Source organism: Homo sapiens, chromosome 6 (assembly GCF_000001405.40).
Source record: "Homo sapiens chromosome 6, GRCh38.p14 Primary Assembly".
Taxonomy (NCBI): Eukaryota; Metazoa; Chordata; class Mammalia; order Primates; family Hominidae; genus Homo; species Homo sapiens.
In genome coordinates this window covers 38,166,663-38,190,383 of record NC_000006.12, presented here as the reverse complement: position 1 = coordinate 38,190,383, position 23,721 = coordinate 38,166,663, and the positions used below count along the sequence as shown (strand labels likewise).

Genomic DNA, 23,721 nt, shown 5'->3' with positions numbered 1-23,721 from the left:
GATTCTTCTGCCTCAGCCTCCCAGTTAGCTGGGATTATAGGTGCCTGCCACCAAGCCCAGCCAATTTTTGTAATTTTTTTTTGTAGAGACAGGTTTCACCATGTTGGCCAGCCTGGTCTCGAACTCCTGACCTCAGGTGATCCACCTGCCTCAGCCTTCCAGAGTGCTAGGATTACAGGCATGAGCCACCACGCTGGGCCAGGAATCATCTTAAGTCATAAAATAAATAATGAACAGGATCTCATTCTCAGAGAACAAAAAAAGGCACAATAAGCCAGGTGCATTGGCTCACGCCTGTAATCCCAACACTTTGGGAGGCTGAGGCCACAGGTTCGCTTGAGCCCAGGAGTTCAAGACCAACATGGGAAACATAGTGAGACCTTGTCTCTACTTAAAAAAAAAAAAAAAAAGGCTGGGCCTGGTGGCTCACGCCTGTAATTCCAGCACTTTGGAAGGCCAAGGCAGGTGGATCACTTGAGGTCAGAAGTTTGGGACCAGCCTGGCTAACATGGTAAAACCCCGTCTGTGCTAAAAATACAAAAATTAGCTGGACATGGTGGTATGTGCCTGTAATCCCAGCTACATGGGAGGCTGAGGCAAGACGATTGCTTAAACCCAGGAGGCCGAGGTTGCAGTGAGCCAAGATTGTGCCACTGCACTCCAGCCTCGGCAACAGAACAAGGCTCCATCTCAATAAGAAAAAAAAAAAAGAAAGAAAGAAAACCAATTAGCAGACACGGTGGTGTGCACCTATAGTCCCAGTTACCCAGGAGGCTGAGGCAGGAGGATCGCTTGGGCCTAGGAGTTCGAGGCTGCAGTGAGCTATGATTATGCCACTGCACTCCAGCCCTGGGCAGCAGAGTGAGACCCTGACTCAAAAAACAAAAAATGTACAATAAAGCTGAACTTTATTGGGCATCAAGAATACAGCAAACCCTCAGAGAATGTTCTTTACTGCAGCATACTGGGTTCTGGGACATTATTTGAAAAATGTTGTAACACCTATCTTAGAGAACAATGGAAATATGTGTAAGCCAGTATGGCAGAGTTCAGAGGCGTGAGGGACGGGGTCACATCAGGGAAGGAGGATGACTTGGGTCAGGCAGGATTCCTGGGAGAGACAGCTCTAGAGGATATGACCGCATGGACAAGAGCACTTCGTGGAGCTGGGGAGGGCCGCAGCATAGGACAGGAGGCTGGAGATGAGAGTGCAGCACCACCCTGATTCACAGTCCCATGGGAGCCAGAACTGTGCCATCAAAAACAGGGGTCAGGGTACCTCTCTCACTATGGAGCGTGGCCTGGAGGGCAGAGGATGCAGGGTTTCCTCTGTCTGTCCCTGCTTGTTTGCTAAGTAACATCAGCAGCTGTCTCAGCTGGCTATTCTGTTGGCTAAAGTAACACATTGATTTCTCACAGTCCCAGAGGCTGGGAGTCTGAGGTCAGGGTGCCAGCAGGCTCTGGTTCTTGGTGAGGGCCGTCTTCTGGGTTCTGTCCTCAGACGGCCTTCTTTGGTGTGTGCACTTCGCGAGAGACAGTGACAGAGGGCGCAGGCATGAGCGCTCAGTCTCATTTCCTATAAGGACACCAATCCCATCACGGGGGTTTCACCTTCATGACCTCCGCTGAACCTGATCATTTCCCAAAGACCCCACTTCTAATCCCATTCCATTAGGGATTAGGGCTTCCAAAGAGGAATTTGGGAGGGACACAAGCATCAGTCCATAACAGTGGCCTTCGTTTTAGTCAGAGCCAGAGAAACACTCTGTTTCCCTTTAGCTACTCAGTGTTTGTGAACCCAGAGACTTTGTGCTAGCTTCAAAAACTATCGATGGATTTGGTCTATGGCATGGAAAGGTCTGTCTGTGTGTGTACAATAAAGGGAAATCTGCGTGAACACACGCTTTGCCGAATGGCCCAGGTAGGCCTGTCTTCTGCAGGTGCTTCCCCATCAAGAGAGAGGCGGGCAGAGCAGGGACTGGTGGGGAAGCGCAGCATGGAGGCTCCTATGGAAGAGCATTCAAGAGAAGATGGTGGCTGGGCAGTTTGGCAAAAGTTGGGAAGTGGCCTGGACAGTGTGTAAGTAGCAGCTAGCAGAGCAGCTGGCTGTTTAGAGAGACCTGAAGTCATTCTTGGAGGCAGGAGCTCAGTGGGTTGATAGCTCTGCAACAGGGACCATGGAAACTGCCCCGAACTCCAAACACCCCCGGCAGCTGCTGGAATAGGAGAAGGCGGACAGCAGGCAGTGCGTGGAAGCAGGCCCCCCAGGCTGGCCTGACTGAGCTAAGGCGGACTGGGATTTCTTGCCTGCTGTAGGTGTGCATCTGTCTTGCTCCAGTCGGCCAGGTCTTCCTGCATCCAAAGGCTCAGTCTCCGTCTGCTGCATGCTAATTTTCCCCGCTTCCCTCCGATCCGTCCAGCTCTCAGGTGACAGTGGCCTCGGCAGTCTGAGAGTGTAGATTTCTTGATCACCTGCTCTGGCACGCTTCTGATTTCCTGCGGCATTCCATCCCTCTCCTCTGGGAAGTGTACGTCTGCTGCTGGCATCTGTCTCTCATCTTCCTTTGTGAGCACCGCAGCAACGAATTCATTTAATTTTTTAGCTATGTTTATGACTTCTGTCAGTAAATTCCCCCAATGCTTACCTGTTAAAGACTCCACCACTTCCTTCTGTGACCCCTGTTCCTTGTGTACTCAGCATCATCCTTATCATTTATCTGAACTCCTCAGCACACTCCACTTTCACTCCCCCCCACTGTGTGCTTCTGTCGTCCTCTGCTCCCTGCTCGCCTGGCTCTGGAAGCTCCCCTGTGCTTGGCCCAGTGCTCACGTGTGGCTTTTTCTTTACCCTCAAACGCTTCCCCCGACTCCTTTGTCTTCCTCCCATGCTCAGCACTAGATGGCAGACAGATGTCGGTGTGTCTTTCAGCACATCCACCCTCCGCTTCCATTGTTTCCATGCATCTGATTGTCCCCACTGCCTGTGGCCAAGGAGGTCCTTCTTGACCATTTCCTCAGTCACTTTAAGGTGGTCTCGGCTGCCAGCTTAGCAAGTTCATGGTCATTCCTGTGTGGTCGTTCACCTGCCTTCAATGCTAATCAACTCTGAGCCACTGGGGAGACAGACACTGCTCCTCTTCTAAGTTTCTCACGTCTAAAATAAACTGGGCCTTGTCAACAACGTTAACAAACGTCGAGGGAGTCTTTAGTTTCAGCCCCCAAGACTGTGCTCAGAGCCACACTGGTTCTGATGTGCGGGGTCTCCCAGAAACCCTTCCATTTCATGTTACTAATTATCTGAGCAAATAGCAAAGGCACATGCCTACATCCTTAAATAAACCCGGCTGGGAGTAAATAAGATCAAGTCTGTGCACCCATGAAAATCAGGCAGTGATGTTCAAGAAACAGAAGCTACGCCTGTTTCTTTTTATGGCTTTTATAAAAACGTGGGTTTGAAAGTTCTGGAGTGATTTTTTTCAGTACGCTGGGAGCTCAGGGGCCCACAAGCAGTCTTGAGGGTTAAAAAGGACTGTAGGAAAAGGAAATTCTCTGCAATGTATTCAGAAAGACAGGGTTTCTGCTCACAAGAACCTACATGAAAGCTTTTACCAAGTCAATAGCAGAAACTGAGGATGGTATTGACAGGCTTTAGGCAGCTCTCAGGTTCCATTTTACTTACTGAATTTATATAGTGAGGAGAGAGGCTGTGTCATATTCATCTTTGTATCCCTGGCACCTAGCGTGGTGCCTGGCATGTGTAAGCATAGAGGACCTGTTAACTGAATGAATGGGTGAGTGATCTCATCTGTACACCCATCTCTCCCTCTCCCAGTCAGTCAGTCAAAGAAAGCAATAAAGGAAAAGATGTAGTAAACCAACTTTTCATTATCAAGAGGCCGTGGCATTCCAATACAGAGTTTCTATAGTCATATGGAGGATTTTCTTAAACCAGAAACATTTGTAAATGGAAAAGTATGTGCACCAGATATCTCAGCATCTCCTAGCTTAGGACCCTTATAATAATCATCATTATTATTAATTACAATAATAGTAGCTAGTATTTGCTGAGCACTTACTGTGTGCCAGGTTATCTTCCAGCCCTTTATATTTATTACATGATTTAATCCTCATATATGAAGTAGGTTCCACTCTCATCCTCATTTTAAAGATGAGGAAACTCAATACTAAGTGTTGGCAAAATTGTGGAGCAGTGGGCAGTTCTCCTCCAGTGCTGTGGGCAGATGGACTGACCCTGTCACTCTGGAGAAGAGTTTGGTGTTTTGTCCTAAAGGAGCATATGCACACATTCACCCTATGGCTGAGCATTCACTTCCACTCCTATCTGTATTCTCCAACGAAGCTCTTGTACCAGTTTAGGAGGCAGGAGTGAGGATGCTGTCACCGCAGCCTTGTTCATCCTGTACCCAACGGGACACCATGAGCGTCCATCCACAGAGGATGGGTAAGCAAAGCACAGCATCTCATACAACGGGCTGCAGGGACTGTAGGTGGATGAACATAACAGCGTGTTGAAGGACAGAAGCGAGACACCAAAGAATACGTATACTAGGATTACATTCATGGAAACTTCAAAAGCAGGCAAAGCTTTACTACAACATTCATGCATACACAAGTGGTAAAACTGCTAAGAAAAAGAAAGCAAGGGGACAAATCTTATCTGAGCCAGAATTGGGGTTTCCTCAGTGAGGGGGAGGCACCACTGTTTCTTGTCCCACATGGTATTTCTATGGGAAAACTGTGCCTTATAGCATACAGTTTTGGCAGTAAAAAGTTTAGAGGCAACCGAGGCTGAGAGACGTTAACTAATTTGTACGAGATCAACCCAGTCTTGAGTGGCAGAATCAGAATGTGAATCCAGGCAGTCTGGCTGTAACATCGAGGCCACTGCGTCTCCCACAAAGGCATAATAGACGGCAATGTGCAAAATGAGCCCAGCTGCACCCTGGCCCAGAACTCTATGAGTCAGGCATTGATAAGCAGGTGGCTCTGAGCATGCTGTGTACACCAGTTTGTGCTAGATCTTGGGGAGAAACTGAGGCAGGACCCTTCCTTAAGGGGATGGCAGCTTCACCACCTGGTAGAAATGAATCCCCATTAAAAAGCCCCTTAACTCTGGGTGAGATTTCAAATGGCTGTACCTGATTGATGGTAGAGACATCAGTGAATGAAAACAGCAGCCAGCCCTGAAGGAGGAGGGTGAGTCCTGATCTGTAAAACGGATCGAGTGATCCTGGCCCTTGGAGTTTGGGAGCCATGAATGAGTTTATGTCTTAGAGGACCTGGGAGGGTGGGAGGGTGCAGAGCACTCTGCAGGCTCACCGCTCCTTATTCCAAGGAGAGTGATCAGCCCACGAGCGTGTCAGAGGAGCATCTGCATGGGCCGACAGCAGCAGGACAGAAAGTCTGCAAGTGGCTACTTGAGCTGCCCTCCAGGACCACTCGGCTCAGGGCCTGGAGTGAGGCAGAATTTATTTACTGGCTTCGGTCAGACCAGTGAGTGGCTCTGGGCTCCCATGCCACCCTCGTTCCCATAGCAACATGTGGCTCTAATGGAAAAAAACAAAACAGGGAAACAGACTCTTAAAGAAAAAAATGAAACAAGTGCTCCTTCCTGGCATGGTGATAATTATTTCCGAGGTCCCCCTGCCCCAGGTCTGATTCCACTCTCTCTGGCCCCCCGAGGATTTCCCCGGCAGCATCCTCCAGAGGACCATCGTCTCAGCCCAGAAGCACCTCAAAGCAGTCACATGCTGGCCCCAGGGCCAGAACCCCCAGTGGGCGCTCTCTGTGCTCTGTGGCAGAGCACAGAGAGAGCAAATGGAGAGGCAGCCCTCTCCTTGCAAAAGCTCCTGGTCTGCAGAGAGCACCAGTTCCAGCCTTCAGACTCCACTTCTGTGTGGGAGGGAACCTGGCCCTCCAGGGGCTTCATGTTCCAGCAACTGGAAATGGATGCCCACAAAGAAAACCTGCTTGGGAATAGAAATAATGGAAACAAACTTAGGTTTCAGATGGCAGCACGGAGGCCCTGTATGGTGCATGCGAGGTACTGGGCCAGAGAGGAGGCAGTGCAGGGACAGCCGGGATAGTCAAGCCCAGCGGGCAGCCTGGTACCTGTGAATCTGCATTGTACCAGTTTAGGAGGCAAGAGTGAGGATGCTGTCACCGCAGCCTTGTTCATCCTGAACCCAACGGGATACCACGAGCGTCCATCCACAGAGGATGGGTAAGCAAACACAGCATCTCATACAACAGGCTGCAGGGACTGTGGGTGGATGAACATAACGGCGTGTTGAAGGACAGAAGCCAGACACCAAAGAATACGTATACTAGGATTACATTCATGGAAACTTCAAAAGCAGGAGGTTCTGACTGGCTCCCCACCACACTGCAGTTCTTGAGAGCAGAGACTGTGTTGTAGCATCTTTGTGTCCTCAGCACCCAGCCCAGTGCCTGGCACACAGTAACCCCTCCATAAATCAGACCATGGGCCAGAGCGTTGGTGTGGGATTCCAAAGGGAATGAGCTCTCAGGAATCACTTGTGACAGCCTGAAGCCAGATGAAGGAATAACTGAAGATGGCATCAAGGCTGTGACTGCCATGCCCTTGGAGAATGGCAGAGCTCTGATGGTTATGAGAGAGTCTGGAAGCATTCGGTTGCACAAAAATATAGGCTGGGGGAGAGGCAGTGAAAGCTGAGCCATCCAAACAAAAACTTGGATTTAAGGATTATACCTGCAGATAATGATCAAAGCCAGGTGCCTCAGAAGAGCCAGGCTAAGAAGAAAGGGGTGTGGAGGCTCTAGAAGCTGGTTCCATGAACCAGCACTGGGCAGGCAGGGAGGCAGAGGATGCACTGAGGGGAGCGAGCAGTGAGTGGAAGGAAGGGAGGGGGCCTCGGCACTGGTGCCAGCTTCACCTCCAGCCAGCTGTGTGGCCCCAGTGTCATTTTACCTCCCTGCCTCTCAGGACACTTGCCTTTGAAATAAGGAGAGTGAACTAGATCTTAAAGCTTCCTTCCCAGTGAGACAGGAAAAAAGGCAGAAAAATATTTAGTTTGTTTCATAATTATAAAAGAAGACCTTTTAGGCCGGGCGCGGTGGCTCACACCTGTAATCCCAGCACTTTGGGAGGCCGAGGCGGGCAGATCACGAGGTCAGATCGAGACCATCCTGGCTAACACGGTGAAACCCCATCTCTACTAAAAGAATTAAAAAATTAGCCAGGTGTGGTGGCGGGCGCCTGTAGTCCCAGCTACTCAGGAGGCTGAGGCAGGAGAATGGCATGAACCCGGGAGGCGGAGCTTGCAGTGAGCCGAGATCGTGCCACTGCACTCCAGCCTGGGCGACAGAGCAAGACTCTGTCTCAGAAAAAAAAAAAAAAGAAGACCTTTTGTGGGCTTCTTTATATTTAAATGTTTGTTATGAAAGATTTTATTGGAAAAAAAGAGAGGAAAAGCAGGACAACATTGAGCACATATGGTTGTTTCAGACACTGCACAATCCTTAGACCTGTCATATTGGAGCAACAATAATTCTCCATCCTCAACTGGCCTGGGAGAAAGTGACCCCAGACCTGGGCAGATGAGTACCCAGGAGCCTCCCAGCAGTGAGACGCATGGAGACAGCAGCTTGTGAGGGTCCCCTCAGATGTGTCCCATTGCTGTGCCAGCAGTGAGGGGTGATGCTGGAAGCCTCGACGCAGCTGGAGCCCTTTGAGACAGAAGGTACATGCGGAGCCTGGTCACACAAAGTGAAGAACCGCCCAGGCAGCTGGAGACACATGGGCCAGCCCTGTGGGGAGAGCAGGGCCATGGCTAGGCTCTCTTGGTGCCTGTCTGGTGTGGGAAGGGGGCCCTGGTGAGGCCACATCTATCAGGTGGGGAGATTCAGGCATCCCAGAAGCCTGCGAACAAGAACACTTCCCTTTTTTTGTTTCTTAGTTTTTCAAAAAAATAACTAAAAGATACCTCTACCACTCTATAGCCGAATCCATTAAGACAAGAAAGTAACTCTCTCCCTGGAACTCTGGAGTGTACACACATAAAAAACAGGGCAGGAATTCCAGGGCTGCCTGGGGTGATAGGGATTGGAAAGCCTCTTCTTCCAGAACCTTCCAAGCATCAGAGTTCCAATTATCTGTGGATATCCTGGCCTATGTGAATATGAGAAAATGATATTGTAAAGTTTTTTTAAAAGCTGTTGCCGTACATAAGCATTGTCACCCAGAAACTTACCTCCATACTTAGTGCAAAAATATTTGGGTATCCTATCACCCTAAGCAATACTGAAAATTTGTTGCTCGCAATTTGGAAATGTCTCCCTATGAAGTAATTCCTAGTTTTGTTTTTTGTTGTGTTTGTTTGTTTGTTTGTCTTTGAGACAGAGTCTCGCTCTGTCTCCCGGCTGGAGTGCAGTGGCGCGATCTCGGCTCACTGCAACTTCCGCCTCCCACGTTCAAGCAATTCTCCTGTCTTAGCCTCCCGAGCAGCTGGGATTACAGGCATCTGCCACCACACCTGGCTAATTTTTGTATTTTTAGTAGAGACCAGGTTTTGACACGTCGGCCGGGCTGGTCTCGAACTCTTGACCTCAAGTGATCCGCCTCTCTCAGCCTCCCAAAGTGCTGTGATTATAAGGTGTGAGCCACCATGCCCGGCCCCTAACTGAAAACAATGTGTTGGGCTGTTCAGATGCACATAAAAAACCAAGGTTTATCAAAAGGGATATTTTGTTGGAGGCACTCGTCTTCATTTTTAAAGAACAAAAACAAAACATCTCTGCAGTCTGTAGATGGACTGTTACCTTCTGCTCTGAGGCGAGCATAAGAGAGATGTTAATGGTGACCATCGTCAGGATCTGTTATGTCACTGAACGCTGGGTGGGTGTGTGATGCCACCACATCAGCCACTGTGAAAGGGAAATAGGGGATCTTTAGGGGAGTGTAAGTTAGAAGTCATGGCTTTGCATCTGACTTATGGACAGACATCAAGAGGTAGATATCTATTTTATAAAGATTTGTCAACTTGTATTTGTAAGTTGAAAACTTGGATCAGAAATCCTATTTGTATTGGTTGGCATGAAAGCAGTCTGTGGAAATTATTCAGGAGGAACCAGGAAAGCAAGGCAGAGTCATTGATCAACATTTATTAAATTTCCCCAATTTCTGCTGCAGTTCACAGTGGACTCTTAGGCCAACTTGGGAAAATTAGCAAAGGCTTCTGCTTTTAAAAACCTTGAAAATTTGTCAAGCAAATAGTGCTTAGGGAATCCCTCTAATGAGAGGCAGCAGCCACCAAGCCACTGAGGAATTAGCCTGGTCACCAAGAAGGGGCTAGCACATTTGTGTACATCCTGTCCAGGATTCACGGGGAAAAGAACACCCAGCCTATCTCCAGTATGTGGTGAATTATGGCTCCCAGAGAGGCAAGGCAAAGTGATCATAAACAGCAGCTACAGAAAAGGACACCCGATTGTGACTGAGGCTGTGTCGGATTCATACACACGACCACATTCCAAATTAGCCGGCTTCTCTCAGGGGAGAGATCCAGAGGCCATTGAAGACGGTTCAGCGAAGGCGCCCCTTTGTGAGCAGCGGCAATCAAACAGGCTAATGGGATACATGATTGCTGAAAAGGGGAAGGGAGACTGATGCGGCGGCCAGAGTAATGGTTTTGCATAAATGAGTAGTGCGGCTCTGCCCAGTGTGTCTCAGCCACATTTGGTCACGTCCTTTCCAAGAGGTATTGCAGTCTTGGGAAAGTTTGGAGAAAAGAAATTGAATCACTTGAGCTTCTGAGCAAAGAGACTCAGGACTTGGCTGTTCCACCTAGAGGGAAGCCCAAAGGTGCCTGGTGGAAAGAAGTGGGCTGAGGAGCTTGGGGTTACGGTGGGAAGGGGAGGGCCACATGCCCAATATTTCCAGATTTCCCCCCTACCATGGCAGTGATGACTTCCTCCAAGCTGCCATCACCCTCCTCCAGCTCCTGTGTATAAAAAGCACTGCCGCCTCCCTTCCCTCACACTCCTCTCCAAGGGCCGGAGGCAGCTTCACGCCCAGCCCCAGCAGCGTGGCCACCAGTGAAGGTGCCAGTTTCCCCACGACAGGCTTGCTTTTCACTCCCGCTCCCAAGAACAGAATCGGGACCACCCACAGGCCCCCCCGAATGCCCATTTGCATTGCGTGCAAATCTGAGGATTTCTGGGATCCCAGGAGAAGTAACCCCAGCCTCGTACATGTTGATGGGCATCCGAGTGGTCCAGGAGCTAGCTGGGTATTGGCTTACACAGTTGCCACATTTGGCTGAAGGCTGCTAGGCTTAAATCATCAACAGAGATGACTGAGGCAGGCACACTGCTCCACAGAGGGGTGACCAGAGTGAATTACAGACAGGCTGCCAGGAGTGAGGTGCCAAGGCCCAGATCTTTATGTGGAAATCTTCTCCTCGTTCCCTTTGCCTGGAAAGCAGCTCCCCTCCCTGCCTCCCAACCCCTCAAGGCCTCACCTGTGCACACCTTCCTCTCTGTAGCCTGCCCTGACCCCTCTTCCAGGCAAAATTAGTTTCTCACACACCTCTGATGTATGAAATATTACTGATCCCGTGCTGGTAGAATTGTTTGTGTGAGGCAGGTATGTTGATACAGTGGAACAGTCCAGGCTTAAGGAAGGCACAGCCCTGAGGTTCATTCCCAGCCTGCCACTCGCCATTTGCAGAAGAGTGAACACAGGCCCCTGCACAGAGGTGCCTCTGCCCCCAACTGCCTGAGAGGTCCTGAGGGCAGGAGCTGCGCTGTGGGCGCACCTGCTGGAGTCTGCACTCAGTGAAATCATTGCAGGGAAAGGGTCTGTGAGAGTCCTTGGCATGAGTGCAGGTCTGAGCTGCTGTAACTGGAGCCCTGGGACCTGCTGCTGCCACCTTCTGTAGCACCGCAGTATGCCCGCCCCCGTCCCTTCCAGGGAACCCTGAGAGTCATTGTGGGCGCTCTCCTTTATCAGTCTCATCCAGTCTGTTACCAAATTCTGATCTTTCTTGATTTGAAAATGACTCCTGCCTATTGATTCCAAATTGCTAAATCAGGGGATTCCAAGGTTTAAAGGTTTGTTGTCATCTAGATTTTTAAAATACTTGTTATTTGAATTTGTCACCACAAATGTATATTCCTTTTTAAATAACTTTTTTAGTTTAAGAAATATTAGTTTTTAAAGAGTCTCGTAGGCTGGGCATGGTAGCTCACGCCTGTAATCCCAGCTCTTTGGGAGGCTGAGGTGGGCGGATCATGAGGTCAAGAGATCAAGACCATCCTGGCCAACATGGTGAAACCCCATCTCTACTAAAAACACAAAAATTAGCTGGGTGTGGTGGCACGTGCCTGTAGTCTCAGCTACTTAGGAGGCTGAGGCAGGAGAATCGCTTGAACCTGGGAGGCGGAGGTTGCAGTGAGCTGAGATAGCCCCCCTGCACCCCAGCCTGGCGACAGAGCGAGACTCTGTCTCATAAATAAATAAATAAATAAATAAATAGCCTCCTTTGTCCAAGAGTATCAGGATCCCTGCCCAGCTTAAGGCCAGGCCCTCGCCCTGTCCCATTGGGTGTGGCCTCTGCCCCACCCCTCCCCCCCACACCCTGCTGCTCCCAGGCCCTCCTTGCTCTGTTGCCACCCTTTGGCTTGAGAACCTGTGTAGTTCTTCCTGTTTTTCTTCCACACCAAGTCCCCCCCTCCTCCATCCTCTCTAGCTTGGCTGCCTCTTCCTTCCAGACTCACCTCAGATGTCTCCTCCCCCAGGAAGCCTTCCCTGACCGCCTGCCTGGCTGGGTCCCACTCCTCTATGCCCTGGGGCTCCTTCTCCCTGGCTTATGTGTCTGCTGGCCTCACTGGACCGTACACCCTCTGAGGGCAGCTGGGACCTCGCCCAGTCAGGCACGTAGGAGGTGCTTCATGCTTGTGGTACGTGTGTACCTCCTGACCCTGCTCACGTGTGCAGCGTCATCCTCTGGCCGTGTCTGCTGCATATGTGATGTTCATCCTGTCTCTGTTGGTGTGCAGAGGCTGTTCCCTCCCCACCTGTCACCTGTAGCTTGCCCACCCCCACCCATGGCAGGTTCTGTGTCTTCACCCGCCTATCCATTTGTAAAAACACTCTTTTCCACTTAGAATCTTCGCCACACAGTTTGTGATTTAATACAGGTAACTCACTCCTGCCTGTGTATTGCCTTTGAATCTGGCAGCACCTGCGTGGCTTGGTGGAGATGCTCAGGGAGACTGCACTTCATTTAGTTGGGATTCTGGGGCCACAGACTGGGACGCAGCTCTGAGATGGCCCCAGTTCCTTGCAGAGCCACAGGGAGCTCAGTCAGGCAGTTACGGCCTAGGGCTTCCAGGGGCTTCCAGGGTCCCCTAACTTGATGGCAGGGCCTGCCGTGAGCTCTGTGGCATCAGGGAGAGAGATAGTTAGGAGTTCTTTAGAAGAAATATCCATAGGAAAACACAGAAGCAGTTGAGATTGGCTGTCAGTCTTGTTAGGTGTGTTGGGAGTAACAGCCATTTGCATTATTATCTGAAAACAAATTGGCTAATGGGCTAAACACAGTTGTGCCCTTAACACTGCCCAAGTTAGACAAGAGATAAATGCAGCTGGAAATGAGAAGAAACAATGAGAACCAGGGCACCGACAGGTCGGGTCGTGGAATGTCTATCACGTGCTCACCACAGACAGCATCTCTTCCCAGGCTCTTACCAGCGCAGTGCGGAGCAGAGACCCGCCCTGATCCCTCCTCCAGTGAGAGGCCGGCTGTGAAGAGCAAGCCGCAGCACCAGGCCACTCTGAGGTCTTTTTTAACTTTATCTCTCAATCCAGGGTTTTTATCGATTTGTTTATTCTTGTGCAAGAACCCGAGCAGGTAGAAGGACGACTAAGCCTTGGTCCTTGAGTCAGATCGGAGCTGACAGATCAGTAGAAGGAGGCAGGCAGCGGGGTGGGCCACGGAGCGGGAGGCACCCTGAAGGCTTGCGGGGCCGGTGGGGGAAGAGCTGGCCTGGAAATTAACAGGACTGTAGAGAACGTTGCAAGAGCAAAAGGAGAGAAAAACCATTCAATACCAGAGGAGTGAGCTTGAGAAAAGGTAATAAGGAGTAGGACAAACGTAAGTCAATTCCAGGATTAGTGTCAGCCTGAGGCTCTGGGGAGCGGCCTCCGGAGATATTGACCGAGCAGGGAGAGCAGGGATTACACAAATAACCAATTAAAGAACATGGTGGGGCCGGATAAAGAGCTCCTGTGTCAGCAGGGGGAAGGAGCAGTAAAACACAGCCTGTCCTGAAAAGTCCTGCGTGTGGGCGTGGGAACAGAATATGGCTCTGGGTCATACTGCAAAAGAGAAGGCGTATTTGCTGGGTTATGAGAAGCTTTAGTGGGGGGGGTGTTGAGGACCGGGACTGCACTCTCAAGGCGTGTCCTGGCCCCGCAGAGCCTGACCTCACCTATCCCTGGGTGTGGAAGAAGGAACACTTATAAGGCAAGTGACCCATGAGTGGCCGACATGCCCAGGGCGGTGTTGTTACTGAAGAGCTGCAAGATTGTGAAGCTGATGAAGGAGTGGATTAATGGTTGTCACCTAGAGGATGATTCTCAGATTCCCCTGGCCTAGCCCAGGGCAGAGCTGATGGCCCAAATAGTGTTCAGATCTCCACATAAGGCCTTCCCCTAGGACCTAGCCCCTCCAGTTGTTGACTGGTAAGCCCTGCAGATGGACCCACAGAAGGAGATTTTATAAAAAAGGAAGGAAGGAAAGAAAGGAAAAGGAGGGAGACATAGGCTAAGTGGGGACAGCTTCAGCCGTGAGGCAGTGAGGGGTCTGCAGGAGGCGAGGACCGTGCCTGAGCCCCTGCCCTATAAGGAGAGAAATCAGCTCCCTCTAAGAGAAAATGGCAGCTCCCAAAACAGAGTGGACACACCAGGAAGACACGGTCTCAGTCTTCATATGAGAAAATGTGAAATTTAAAACAGTGGTCAATAAATGAATTGAAGTGGGAATATGGAAAAAACAGTGATGCAGGGAGGTAAGCGTGGAATTTATATTTTCAATATAATTCTGCAGTTGATACTACATTTGTCTCTGTGAACTTGATTCTACGGTAGAAGGCCGTGTGTATGTATGTGCACACATGCTCGTGCAGTGGCAACGACAGCCCCCACCCCGCCCTTCTCTCCTGCACCCCACAGCTCACACATGCATGTCAGGACCCCCCGAAGCACGTTGTCTACTCTCCAGGTCAGGGCCATGGCTTACCCTTGCTTGCGGGGCGCTGAGCTCGGTGCTGTGCCCTGTCTGCACAGTGCTGGCACGGTGTTGGCACAGAGTTCATGGTGCTTCCAGGCTGACCTGCTGTCAGGTATGCAAACTCTTCTTAGCTCCTAGAGGGTGACTGTCGGCCAGGTGGCTGGCTTCTACACATTGGGGGCGTTTGTTCCAGGCTGGCTGGAGCCACATGAGGTTGAAGTCCACTCCCCAGCACGGCTGCTTAGCAGGGTCTGTGCTCAACCATTGCAGGGCCAGGAGAACTATGCATCAGGAACCAGCTCAGGACAGGACACCATGCCATTGCAGGGCACGCTCACACACATTCACATGCACTCAGACTGGGACCCTGCAGACACACCAATGAACCTCAAGTGCACAGCTTTGGGACGCGGGAGAAAACCAGAATACCCAGAGACAACCCACGCAGATGCCACACAGATGGTGGACGTTATCTGTGGACCTGCTTTCCACAACCTCACAGAATCGAACCACCACCACCACCACCACCAGTCAACTCCTGTTGACTTTTAACCCAACTGCCAAATACAAAAATTAATTAAAAAAGAAAAAAGAGCCCATTAGACAAAGGTTGGCAAAAACGGAGTAATCCAGTGTGAAGATTTTGTGGGAATCCGTGTCATGGTGTCTCTAACTTTTGGGCCACTGGCTCATTTCCTTTCCTCTTGACTGATCAAAATGTGTTTACAGCATGCTAGTTGCCATCAGGTGTCTGCGCCGGGGCAGGCGTGGGCAGTGGGAAGGACCTCCTCTAACTCCCTCGTGGTGGCCCCCAAAGCTGGGCAGGGCAGTATCCCAACTTGCGGCAACTCCAGGGCCGCATGCTGACCCTTCACTCATGGGGTCTTTTCCTTTTCTCTCCCAGGTGTTCCACTGTGTCCACTTTGAGTGTCCAGAGCAGCAGAGCAGCCAGAAGGAGGAAAATAGTGAGGAATCGGGGACAGGGGACACCAGCCTGGCCGGTCAGCAGCTCGACTCCCATGCGCTGCGGGCGCCTAGTGGCAGCTCACTACCCTCCAGCCCAGGCTCCAACTCACGCTCCCCCAACCGGCAGCACCAATAAAGGAGGCAGCGGGCCTGGTGTGACTTGGTGGGCTCGGGCAACGGCAGGAAACGGTCTCCTCCCTGAGCAGGGGTCTCTGTTGACTGCCCCCACCTCTGCCCCTTTCCAGGGAGGAGCCGACCTAGCTGCAAAAGCAGACACCGAACAGGTTTTCTCCCAAGGACAGAAAGGGGCTGCTTTGTTCTTCTCAATTTATCCAAATCAGGCAGGTCTCAAGGGGGAGAAAATGGGTCTTCAATCTTCATCAAGTCCACCATTAACACCCTACCTCTCTAATCTAGCCCAGGCGCAGGGAACAGGAGGAAGTCATAGACAGGCCTGTGTTGGAATACAAAAATGGCACGCAAACACTCAGGCGGAGGAGAAAGCCATTGGGCCTTTGCTACCTGGAGGCACCCTTTAGGAATGGGCCTCCATAGAGTGTTCATTCTGCTGGAATACATTGCCCTGGCAACTAAATGATTTTTTATTTGTTTTAGTTATTCTCCACTCAGTGAATCATAGGTGTTCCGGATCTATTTGAAATGCTCAAACAGCAAATCACTAGTTTTAATCCCTTTTGATGCTATAATTTTCCTTCCTTGGTTTTGAACGGTTCAGCTTGCGGGGACAGAGACCCATCGTGCATGTCTCCTAAATGAGACACGGATGCAGCTCATCCTGGCACTTGGGCCACAGAGGAAGTGCCACAAATGCACACAAGCAAATCAACCTGTGGACACTGGAGTTAATAGTCACTCGTGTGGCTGAGTTACTCACCTGTCATTCCTGACATGGATCCAGCCTTTAAGCTTGGGAGGCTGACAAGGAAATAGTTACTATGCCCGCTGCTAATTCACTGTTCCGAAGTCCATGTAGATAAACATATACCGAGTTCTGGCGTGGCCAAACCTGCCGGGGACTGCCGTGGCTTAGCTGCCCCTCCAGTTGTGTTTATCGAAGCATTGGAGAGGCAGCCACCTGCCCATCAGCGTCAGGAACGCAGAACTGGGACTCCGTGCTTCCCCCACACCACAGTACTCAACTGGGGACTGAAAAATAGCAGTTCCAAGAAGCTTTTCTCCTAATCCTCATCAAAAGGACCTCATTTGACGATGGTGGCTTGATGTGGCTCCGTCTCCTACTTAGTGATTTCCATTCCAGTGCTGCCTGCCCTGGGTAACTGCGCACAACATTGCCTGCCCCTCCGCTGTCCCCAGAGCTCCGGCCTCTGTCGCCATCAGCATCAGCCTGGGAGTCTCCCCAGGACGGCATGGCACGTGAGCAGCACTGCAGTCCTTGGGTCTTCGGCGCCAACCTGCAACCCTGATCAAAGGAGGGTGAGGGCGTGGGAGTTTCCTTTCAGGTGTGTCAAAGACATATCAGCTGCGCTCTAGAAAGAGCCAACGGGTCAGCCGCTTCCTCCTAGTTTAACTTGATTTTGAGTGATTTGTCCATATGGAAATAGTAGGGTAGCATCAAACTGCGTGATTAAATTGGAAGACTGTCTTTCCGTGTGAACACAGGATGGCAGACATCAGAGGGCTACCGGGGCAGGGTGGACACGTTCCTGAGGAGAAGCCAGGGTCTGCAGCTCTCCATCCTCCCCGGTAGCTCCAGCTGCAGGGCTGAGCTGCTTCCTATCCCCTCAGCTCTGATCTCTGCCACTTCCCTGTTGTGTGGGAGAGTGGAACACTCCTGGGATGCCAGGCATTTCATAATGGGAGGAGGCTCCTGTAAGGAACGGTGGGCGCCCGCTCACAGTGGGGGGCCCTCCAGCATGGTTGCTGACTCTGTCAGCCCCCAGCCCCGGGTTGCCAATTAGCCAGAGAGCTCCTGCACACACAGCACTTCCTTCCCCAGTGTGTTTTCTACCCAGATGGGGACAAAGGAGCCAGACAGTCATATCAAGGGCAGAGTTCAAACATTTTGAAATGAGCCATTCACATGCTTCTTTTTAAACATGGGCATCACCTGCCCAGAGGCCCTTGGCCTGAAGCAGCATGCTGCTGACCTTGGGAAGAGAGGGTGGGCTGGTGGGGGTGCTGGAGGAGCTGCCCGGCCCTGCATCTGCAACCCTCCAGTCCCCTGCCCACAGAGCACGCAGAGCCCTCCTGTGCTCCGGGAACGAGATAGCAGCTTGGCAGCTCGGCCTCGCATCTGAAAAGGAATACGCTGCAAAGCCTCGGCCCTAGACCCACATCTGCAGCTCCCTGGCCTGTGGCGGTTCTTTCCTTCGGGGCATGCCCTTCCAGATCTCTGTCCCTCCTGTCTTCTAGCACTTTAAAGATGCCCCTTATCATCAGATAAAGAGAAGTATGGGGACGATGGGGTGGCACTAACAGTAGATGTCATTGGTGAGGACTGATGGCAAAGTCTCATTCCCTCACAGCCGCGCTGCCAGCTCGCCTCCCCCTCGCTTTGCTGGGAGCCTGCCCTGGACTCCAAAAGGACACGGGTTCACCTCCTTTCCCAGGCTGGAGGGGTACTGCCCTTCCCTGAGGGGCCTTCTGACTGGGGCAGGAACTCTTTTCGTGTGTCCAGCTGGGCCTGGAGGCCAAGTCAAGGTGTGTCACACCACACACCAGGGCAAGGACCTCATCTCCAGGGAACAGGGACAAGTGAGTGGCTACCAGAAAGTCCCCGGGCAGCCTGGAGTTCCCCAGAGCCTGGCTGGTCCTACAGAGCACTTCTCCCCTGGGCCACCAGGACCAAAGCGACCTAAACACTTGAAGCTAAAAGCAAGTGCTGATGATGGGATGGGCTGGCACGTGGCTGGGAGGGCTCCTGGGCACCACAGAGCCCTCAGCCCAGCAGAGAGTGGAGGCTCAGTCCGTGGGGAGCGGGGGTTGTGAAGGAGACATGGCCAAGCCCCTGGTCGGGGAGATAAGCTCCCCCATGCCCAGGCCAGCCCCAGGGGCAACAAGCCAACATGGAGAGAGGTGGCAGGTGAGGCTGACAGGTGGGTGCCTGTGGCCTGGGCCCATGAGGGCAATGGTCCTCAGTAACCAATGGAAAGGACACAAGGGCGCCATGGTCACCACCACCCAGGCAAAGAAATGGGAGGTGGCCAGCACCCCCACCCTTCACTTTTCATTATTATTATTATTATTATTATTATTATTTTTTTTTTTTTTTTTTTTTTTTTTTTTTTTTTTTGAGAGTAGAAAGGCAACTTCATTGGAGCTTTTGGGGAAAAAAGCCTTCAAAGTCACCTTCTGGCAGCTCTGGGGAGGGTCATTTGGGGTGGACTGAGAGTGTAGGGCAGGTAGGGTGTGTGCTGGGCAGCAGCTGTGTCCATGCAGCCAGCACCCAGCAGGGCAGTCTCACAGGAGCCGTTGTGAGCACTTTGGACTTGAAGCAGCTATGAACCACCCCCCGCCCCCACCGTCTCTCCCTCTCACACACACACACACACACACACACACACACACACACACACACACACACCCGTTTTACCATTTTCTCAGTGCTTTTTCTGCTTTCATTCCTTTGATTTTAGTTAGAAGCACAAGCCATGATGGATGTGGGACTCTTCTCAATTGCTCTTTAAATTGTCACTTTTTAAATCCTATTAAATGAAGTGTCGATTCCTGACAAATACATTAAAAGTGTTTTATTCCTAGAAGAGTTGGGAAAAGAAATTATTTTCAGCAAGAGTAGGATGTTTGTTAAACTGATTCCTTGGCAAAAAAGAGAAAAAAAGCTTTTGAATTGTGCAAAAAATTGCCCAGTATTATGCTGTCGCCCCAGTTGTCAAACTGCTGTGCAGATGGCTCCAGCCCAGTCAACTTCACCTTCTTTTTAATTTAGAAGATAACAAAATTGTAATCACTTATCCTTTCCAGAGCCAAGGGGGAAAAGGAAGGTATAATCTACAATAAAAAGCGAGCGTTCTGTGTACTGAGGCCACTTGGTGATAAAGAGATGGAGCGCTCCCCTCACAGACTTCAATTAAGAACCTCCCTTTGGACAGGGAAGAAAGGTGTCAAAGAGGAAAAGAAAATTAAATTTGCTTCCTTCCAGGAGTTTTTCCTCATTAGTGCTTGCTTGTCGGTGTTATTATTTTAATCTTACCTTCTATGTGGTGACCAGCTCCTCCGAGCGATGCCCAGGTCGGGCACGGCCCGGGCAGGGCAGGTCTGCAGCGATGCCGTGGCAGAGGTGGGCATACTCCATTTGTTTTGGCAGCTGCAGCCATTGATTCTGCATATTTTTCCTGACAACAGCCCCGGCAGGAGTTCAGTTAGGAATTTAAAGTGCAGTTCATGGTTCTGTGCCACCGTGGCTTTTATTATTATAATATTAAATTAGAAGTTGTCCTAGTGCCTGGTGTTTGCTCAGAGTTTCCAGAAGAGAGGGAAGGGCAAGGTTTAAATGGCATGCAGGACAACTGGAATGCCCCCATCTCTCTCGCTGACACGGATCCAGTCATACCTGGGGCTGGACGGGATTTGGAGGCCCTGGTCATTTGCAGAGTGAATGGTGAAGGGCGCGGAAAAGGTTTGCTTGGAGGAAAGACCGGTTGCAGAGGCGAGGCGGAGGGAGGAGGGGCGGAGGCAGCAGGTCTTTGTTTGTGGTAGGTCTCTGGCTTCCATCAGGGAGGAGGAAAGAGGCTGTGCCCTTCCTGGCTCTTGGCTGCACCACTGAGGACGCTCCGAGGGACAGCGTGCTCACCCATCCTTTGCACAGTGCTGGCCCCAAGCCCCACGGCCTTCCAGCTAGGATTTTCTGCTGGGCTCATGCAGAGGCAGGGGACAGGTGCATGGAAGAGCCGCCCCACCCGACACACCATTGTTTGAAAATCACTGTTCTCTTTACTCACTTAAAAAAGTGTACAGGGAACACCTGTTCCTGGCATAATGCTCCAACCTCGCGGAAGGGGCCAGGTGCCCTTCATCTGGCTCTGGCTGCTTCCGACCTGGGCCCACGTCATCGTTCACGTCCTCTGTGACCACCACTGGTCACGGTGCTCCCTGGCCCAGCCTCCAACCCACCCAGCACCCTGGCATCTCCCAGGCCAGTCTGCTGCACCCAGCGAGCTTCCAGTCAGAAGCCAGGCTGAACGGCCCTCCTGCCCCATCAGCTTCGTGTCTTCTTTTTTTTAAAGAACTGAAATAGTCCCCAAGAGGCCTCATGGCCTGAAGACTCACAATCATCCACCTGTAATTTATGATAAATGTCTGGGAGCATTTACCATTTGCGTCCGTGAGTATTTATAGCCCTGAATGGGCGGGGGGGAGGGGGGGTGGAGGAGGCCCTGCAGCCAGGAGCTACACACCTGTCCCCACTAGTGTCCCCTGGTTGACAGAGCCCCCTCAGCCTCCCCAAGGCTGTCACTGCGGCTGTGACAGCTGAGGAGTGCCGCCTTTGAAAGCCAGTGGACAGTCGCTCCACTAGGGGGAGAGGCCCTGGCCCTGGCGCAGAGGAGGCGTTGCGAGGCGGGACGGGGGCTGGAGGGGCTGAGCAGCCTTCAGGGCAGGGACTGGGCCCTGGGTCACTGGAGACGTTGATATTAGTCCGTCTGCTGCCAAATTGCTCCCCACCACATGAGCCCCAGGGGTTTATGTCCCAGGAAGGCGAGGGTGCCCATCTGAGCGGAATTGGGAGGGGACGGCACCAGCTCATCTCCCTCAGGGCCTTTGCCTCCTGGTGCTGCCCTGGTGGCTGCTCCTGCACCACAGCCCCTGATGGCTGCTGCTAGTCCTGAGTTGCTGGGTTTACCCCCAGCCCACACTTCCCACCTGGGCCTGAGGGTGCGGCCAGTGCCCTAGTCCTAGCCACTACAGGAGTCATTCTGAGACCTGCTGGAGGCCATGGGGTCTTCCCAGGCCCCTCAATCAGCTGCTTCCAGGGTCAGCAGGGCAGGGTGCTGCCAGTAAGGTCCTCAGGGAGCACAGCCCGGCCGCCCAGGCTGGGGGATACTGGGGCAGAGCTTCCAGGTCTGTGGGGCCTGATCTCTCCCCAAGGCTCTCCAGGCCTTGGTGCGCCCTCCACAGTGACCTTCAGAGAGGCTGCACCCCCTCAGAAGAACAGTGAGAAATCTCTCCATCACACGCTCCCTGGTCCTTATGTCCCTGAGGCCACCCTTCCCCACCCCCCAGTGCCTGGAGAAGCGTGAGACTCTGGAGGGGCGCCAGGAGGCCAGGGGTCCTCAGGGCTAGGCCTGGAGCTCGGCCCAAGAGCTGCTTTTGCGAAGCCTGTCTTGAATCCGGATTCACCAGAGAACAAGAGCCTCCCAGCCTTTGGCGTTTCTGGGCCTGTAAAGATGTGTGTACCTCCCAGGCCACTCTGATGCAAGGGCAGGGACCATGCCAGGCCTGGGTTGGGAATGGCTCTGTGACTCCAGAAGCTCCGTCTAAAACTCCAAAGATGCCCAAAAGGCTGTGCTGCTATGTGGAATGTGTATTATTTGTGAGCACGATGCGGCTTCTTCCTCATTTTGCAGAGCAACCTAAGCGGGCAGATGTACAAACCGTGTGTTCGAAACCCCTGAGTCCATGTGTGTGAAAATGCAGGTTTTCTCTTAGAAATAAAGTGGTGACTTGTGCTGTATTCGAGTCGTCACTCTCTGCAGCAACCCCTCTCGATGCCCAGGGACAAGCAGGGGGCCCAGGCCAGGGTCAGCCCCTCTGCCCCAGTGCCCTCATATGGACACTGCCATCCGGCCCTCTCTGCAGGCCCAGGCACTCAGGGGTGTCCACCCAGGCCCCCGCTCGCTTCCTCTGCCTTGTGGAGGGAGGCAGACAGCCCTGGAGCAAAGCAGGCACAGAGAGGCCGGCTTGCTCCAGGGCGGCGGCGTGGGCAGATCCAGCGGATTTGGGCCAGCACTGTCACCGGCTCTGAGGGCCTTCCCTCAGGGTGGAGGGGCTGTCCAGCTCCCTCCCACCTCCTGTGGCACTCTCTCCACCCCACCCCATGGCCTATTCGATGCCATTTTTGGGGGGTTAGGAAACACCACCTTGAACCCAGTCCCCTTCCCTTGTCATTTCTCCTCCTCTGAGCTTAGCCCCAGCTGCTTTCTTCCTCATGTCTTGCTTCTTCTACCTGATGAGCCCGTGAGTATTTGGTAGCAACTTCCCCCATTTATCTTGCTTCCCAGGGGAGATGCGGGGAAGGGAACCAGTGAGCCAGGAGGCGGCCCCTTGCAGGCGCTGCCGCTCTCCCTGGCCCCAATCTCGAGTCCTGGGTGTGTGAACTCAGTGTTGCAGGCCCTGCCGTCTGGGATCCAGTGCCCTCTCCTGTGACCCCACAACTGGGCCTGAGTCTCCAGCAACTCCGCTGGTGCATGTGGGGCCCAAGGCTCCATGCGCTGAACATGAGGGACCCCGGCCACCTGGAGCCTTGGCCTCCTCCTGAGCTGTTGTCACGTGGAAACCAGGCAGGGGTCTGCTCCTCTCAGTGGAATTTTTTCTTGGAACCTGCACTAGGGACTCTCCATGTTTTTGGTTAACTTCCACCTGGTGGCTTTGGCCGAGCACTGGGGCTCCAAGTCAGGTGCTCCATTTCCAAACCATGCAGGCATCCTTTCGGGAGCACACCCACCTAGCTTCGATCTTCCAGAACTGACAACTTGTTGCCAATAATTGGCTGACGTGAGTGTTGAACAAGACAAAACCCAATCCAGAGAGCACTGGGCTTTGTCCTGCCACCGCCCCGCCCAGGCCACTGTACCCCCCCACCACCCCCCCATGCCGCCTGCCTCCCAAGTGCTGGGGATGGAGCAGGGAGGCTGCCCCTCTTGCCCTCCCTCACCTTCCAGGGAGCAGACACCAGCGTCAGTGTGAATGTGGCCCAGCCCATGTGCAGAGGGAGAGGATGCCGGGCTGGGCGTGCATGTTGAAGTCCGTGGCCCAGAGAGGCTTCCAGAGAAGGTGACAGCTGAGTAAAGCCCTGAGGGGTGGGGAACAAGAGTCGTGGCCCTCTGGGGGAGACTTCCAGGAGGAGGGGGCCAGGGGAAGAAGGCTCGATGCCTCCTGGCTGGTGTGGCGGAGGAGGGGGAGGGGTGGCGGGCCGGTGTGAGGCGGTGAGGAGGCTTCATGGATCCCTATGGAAAATCGGGCTTGTCTCTGAGGTGGGAGCCAGTGGAAAGTTCTGAGCACAGGAGGCCCTGGTCGGTTTCACACTGGGACAGGCTCACCAGGCCGCTGCCTGGAGAGTGCACTGGGGGCCGATGGGGCTGGGAAGGATTGAGGATGGCGACGGTGGGGGGTGAGCAGGGGCGGTGGAGGGCTTTGCTGTGCACGGGGAGGTGGAGGCTCTTCTGTGCGGAGAGGGGAGGTGGAGGGCTCTGCTGTGCACGGGGAGGTGGAGGCTGTGCTGGGTGGAGGGCTCTGCTATGGG

At 52.6% G+C, this 23,721-nt stretch overlaps 1 protein-coding gene and 1 long non-coding RNA gene across 8 annotated transcripts in view, besides 3 other annotated features; one reads left to right on the top strand and one right to left on the bottom strand.

Moving 5' to 3' along the window:
- Positions 1 to 21,933, top strand: part of BTBD9 (BTB domain containing 9) — a 471,479-nt gene extending 449,546 nt beyond the window's left edge. For all 7 annotated transcript variants that reach the window (NM_001099272.2, XM_047418145.1, XM_047418146.1 and 4 more), the window contains one exon: positions 15,202 to 21,933. In NM_001099272.2, the coding sequence (NP_001092742.1) occupies positions 15,202 to 15,399 (198 nt within the window). In that variant the 3' untranslated portion in view covers positions 15,400 to 21,933. The remainder of the gene's footprint in view (positions 1 to 15,201) is intronic.
- Positions 892 to 15,206, bottom strand: LOC124901315 (uncharacterized). The gene is made up of 2 exons (XR_007059571.1): positions 14,307 to 15,206; positions 892 to 13,068 (listed from the first exon to the last, which is right to left on the bottom strand). It is a non-coding gene; the product is annotated as an uncharacterized LOC124901315 (long non-coding RNA).
- Positions 20,300 to 20,931: an enhancer, noted in NCBI's record as "H3K4me1 hESC enhancer chr6:38137229-38137860 (GRCh37/hg19 assembly coordinates)". NCBI's record gives its function as "activates a minimal SCP1, AML or CMV promoter by ChIP-STARR-seq in naive H9 embryonic stem cells {active_cell/tissue: H9 hESC(naive)}" and the evidence as "EXISTENCE:reporter gene assay evidence [ECO:0000049][PMID:30033119]".
- Positions 20,932 to 21,563: an enhancer, noted in NCBI's record as "H3K4me1 hESC enhancer chr6:38136597-38137228 (GRCh37/hg19 assembly coordinates)". NCBI's record gives its function as "activates a minimal SCP1, AML or CMV promoter by ChIP-STARR-seq in naive H9 embryonic stem cells {active_cell/tissue: H9 hESC(naive)}" and the evidence as "EXISTENCE:reporter gene assay evidence [ECO:0000049][PMID:30033119]".
- Positions 21,564 to 22,194: an enhancer, noted in NCBI's record as "H3K4me1 hESC enhancer chr6:38135966-38136596 (GRCh37/hg19 assembly coordinates)". NCBI's record gives its function as "activates a minimal SCP1, AML or CMV promoter by ChIP-STARR-seq in naive H9 embryonic stem cells {active_cell/tissue: H9 hESC(naive)}" and the evidence as "EXISTENCE:reporter gene assay evidence [ECO:0000049][PMID:30033119]".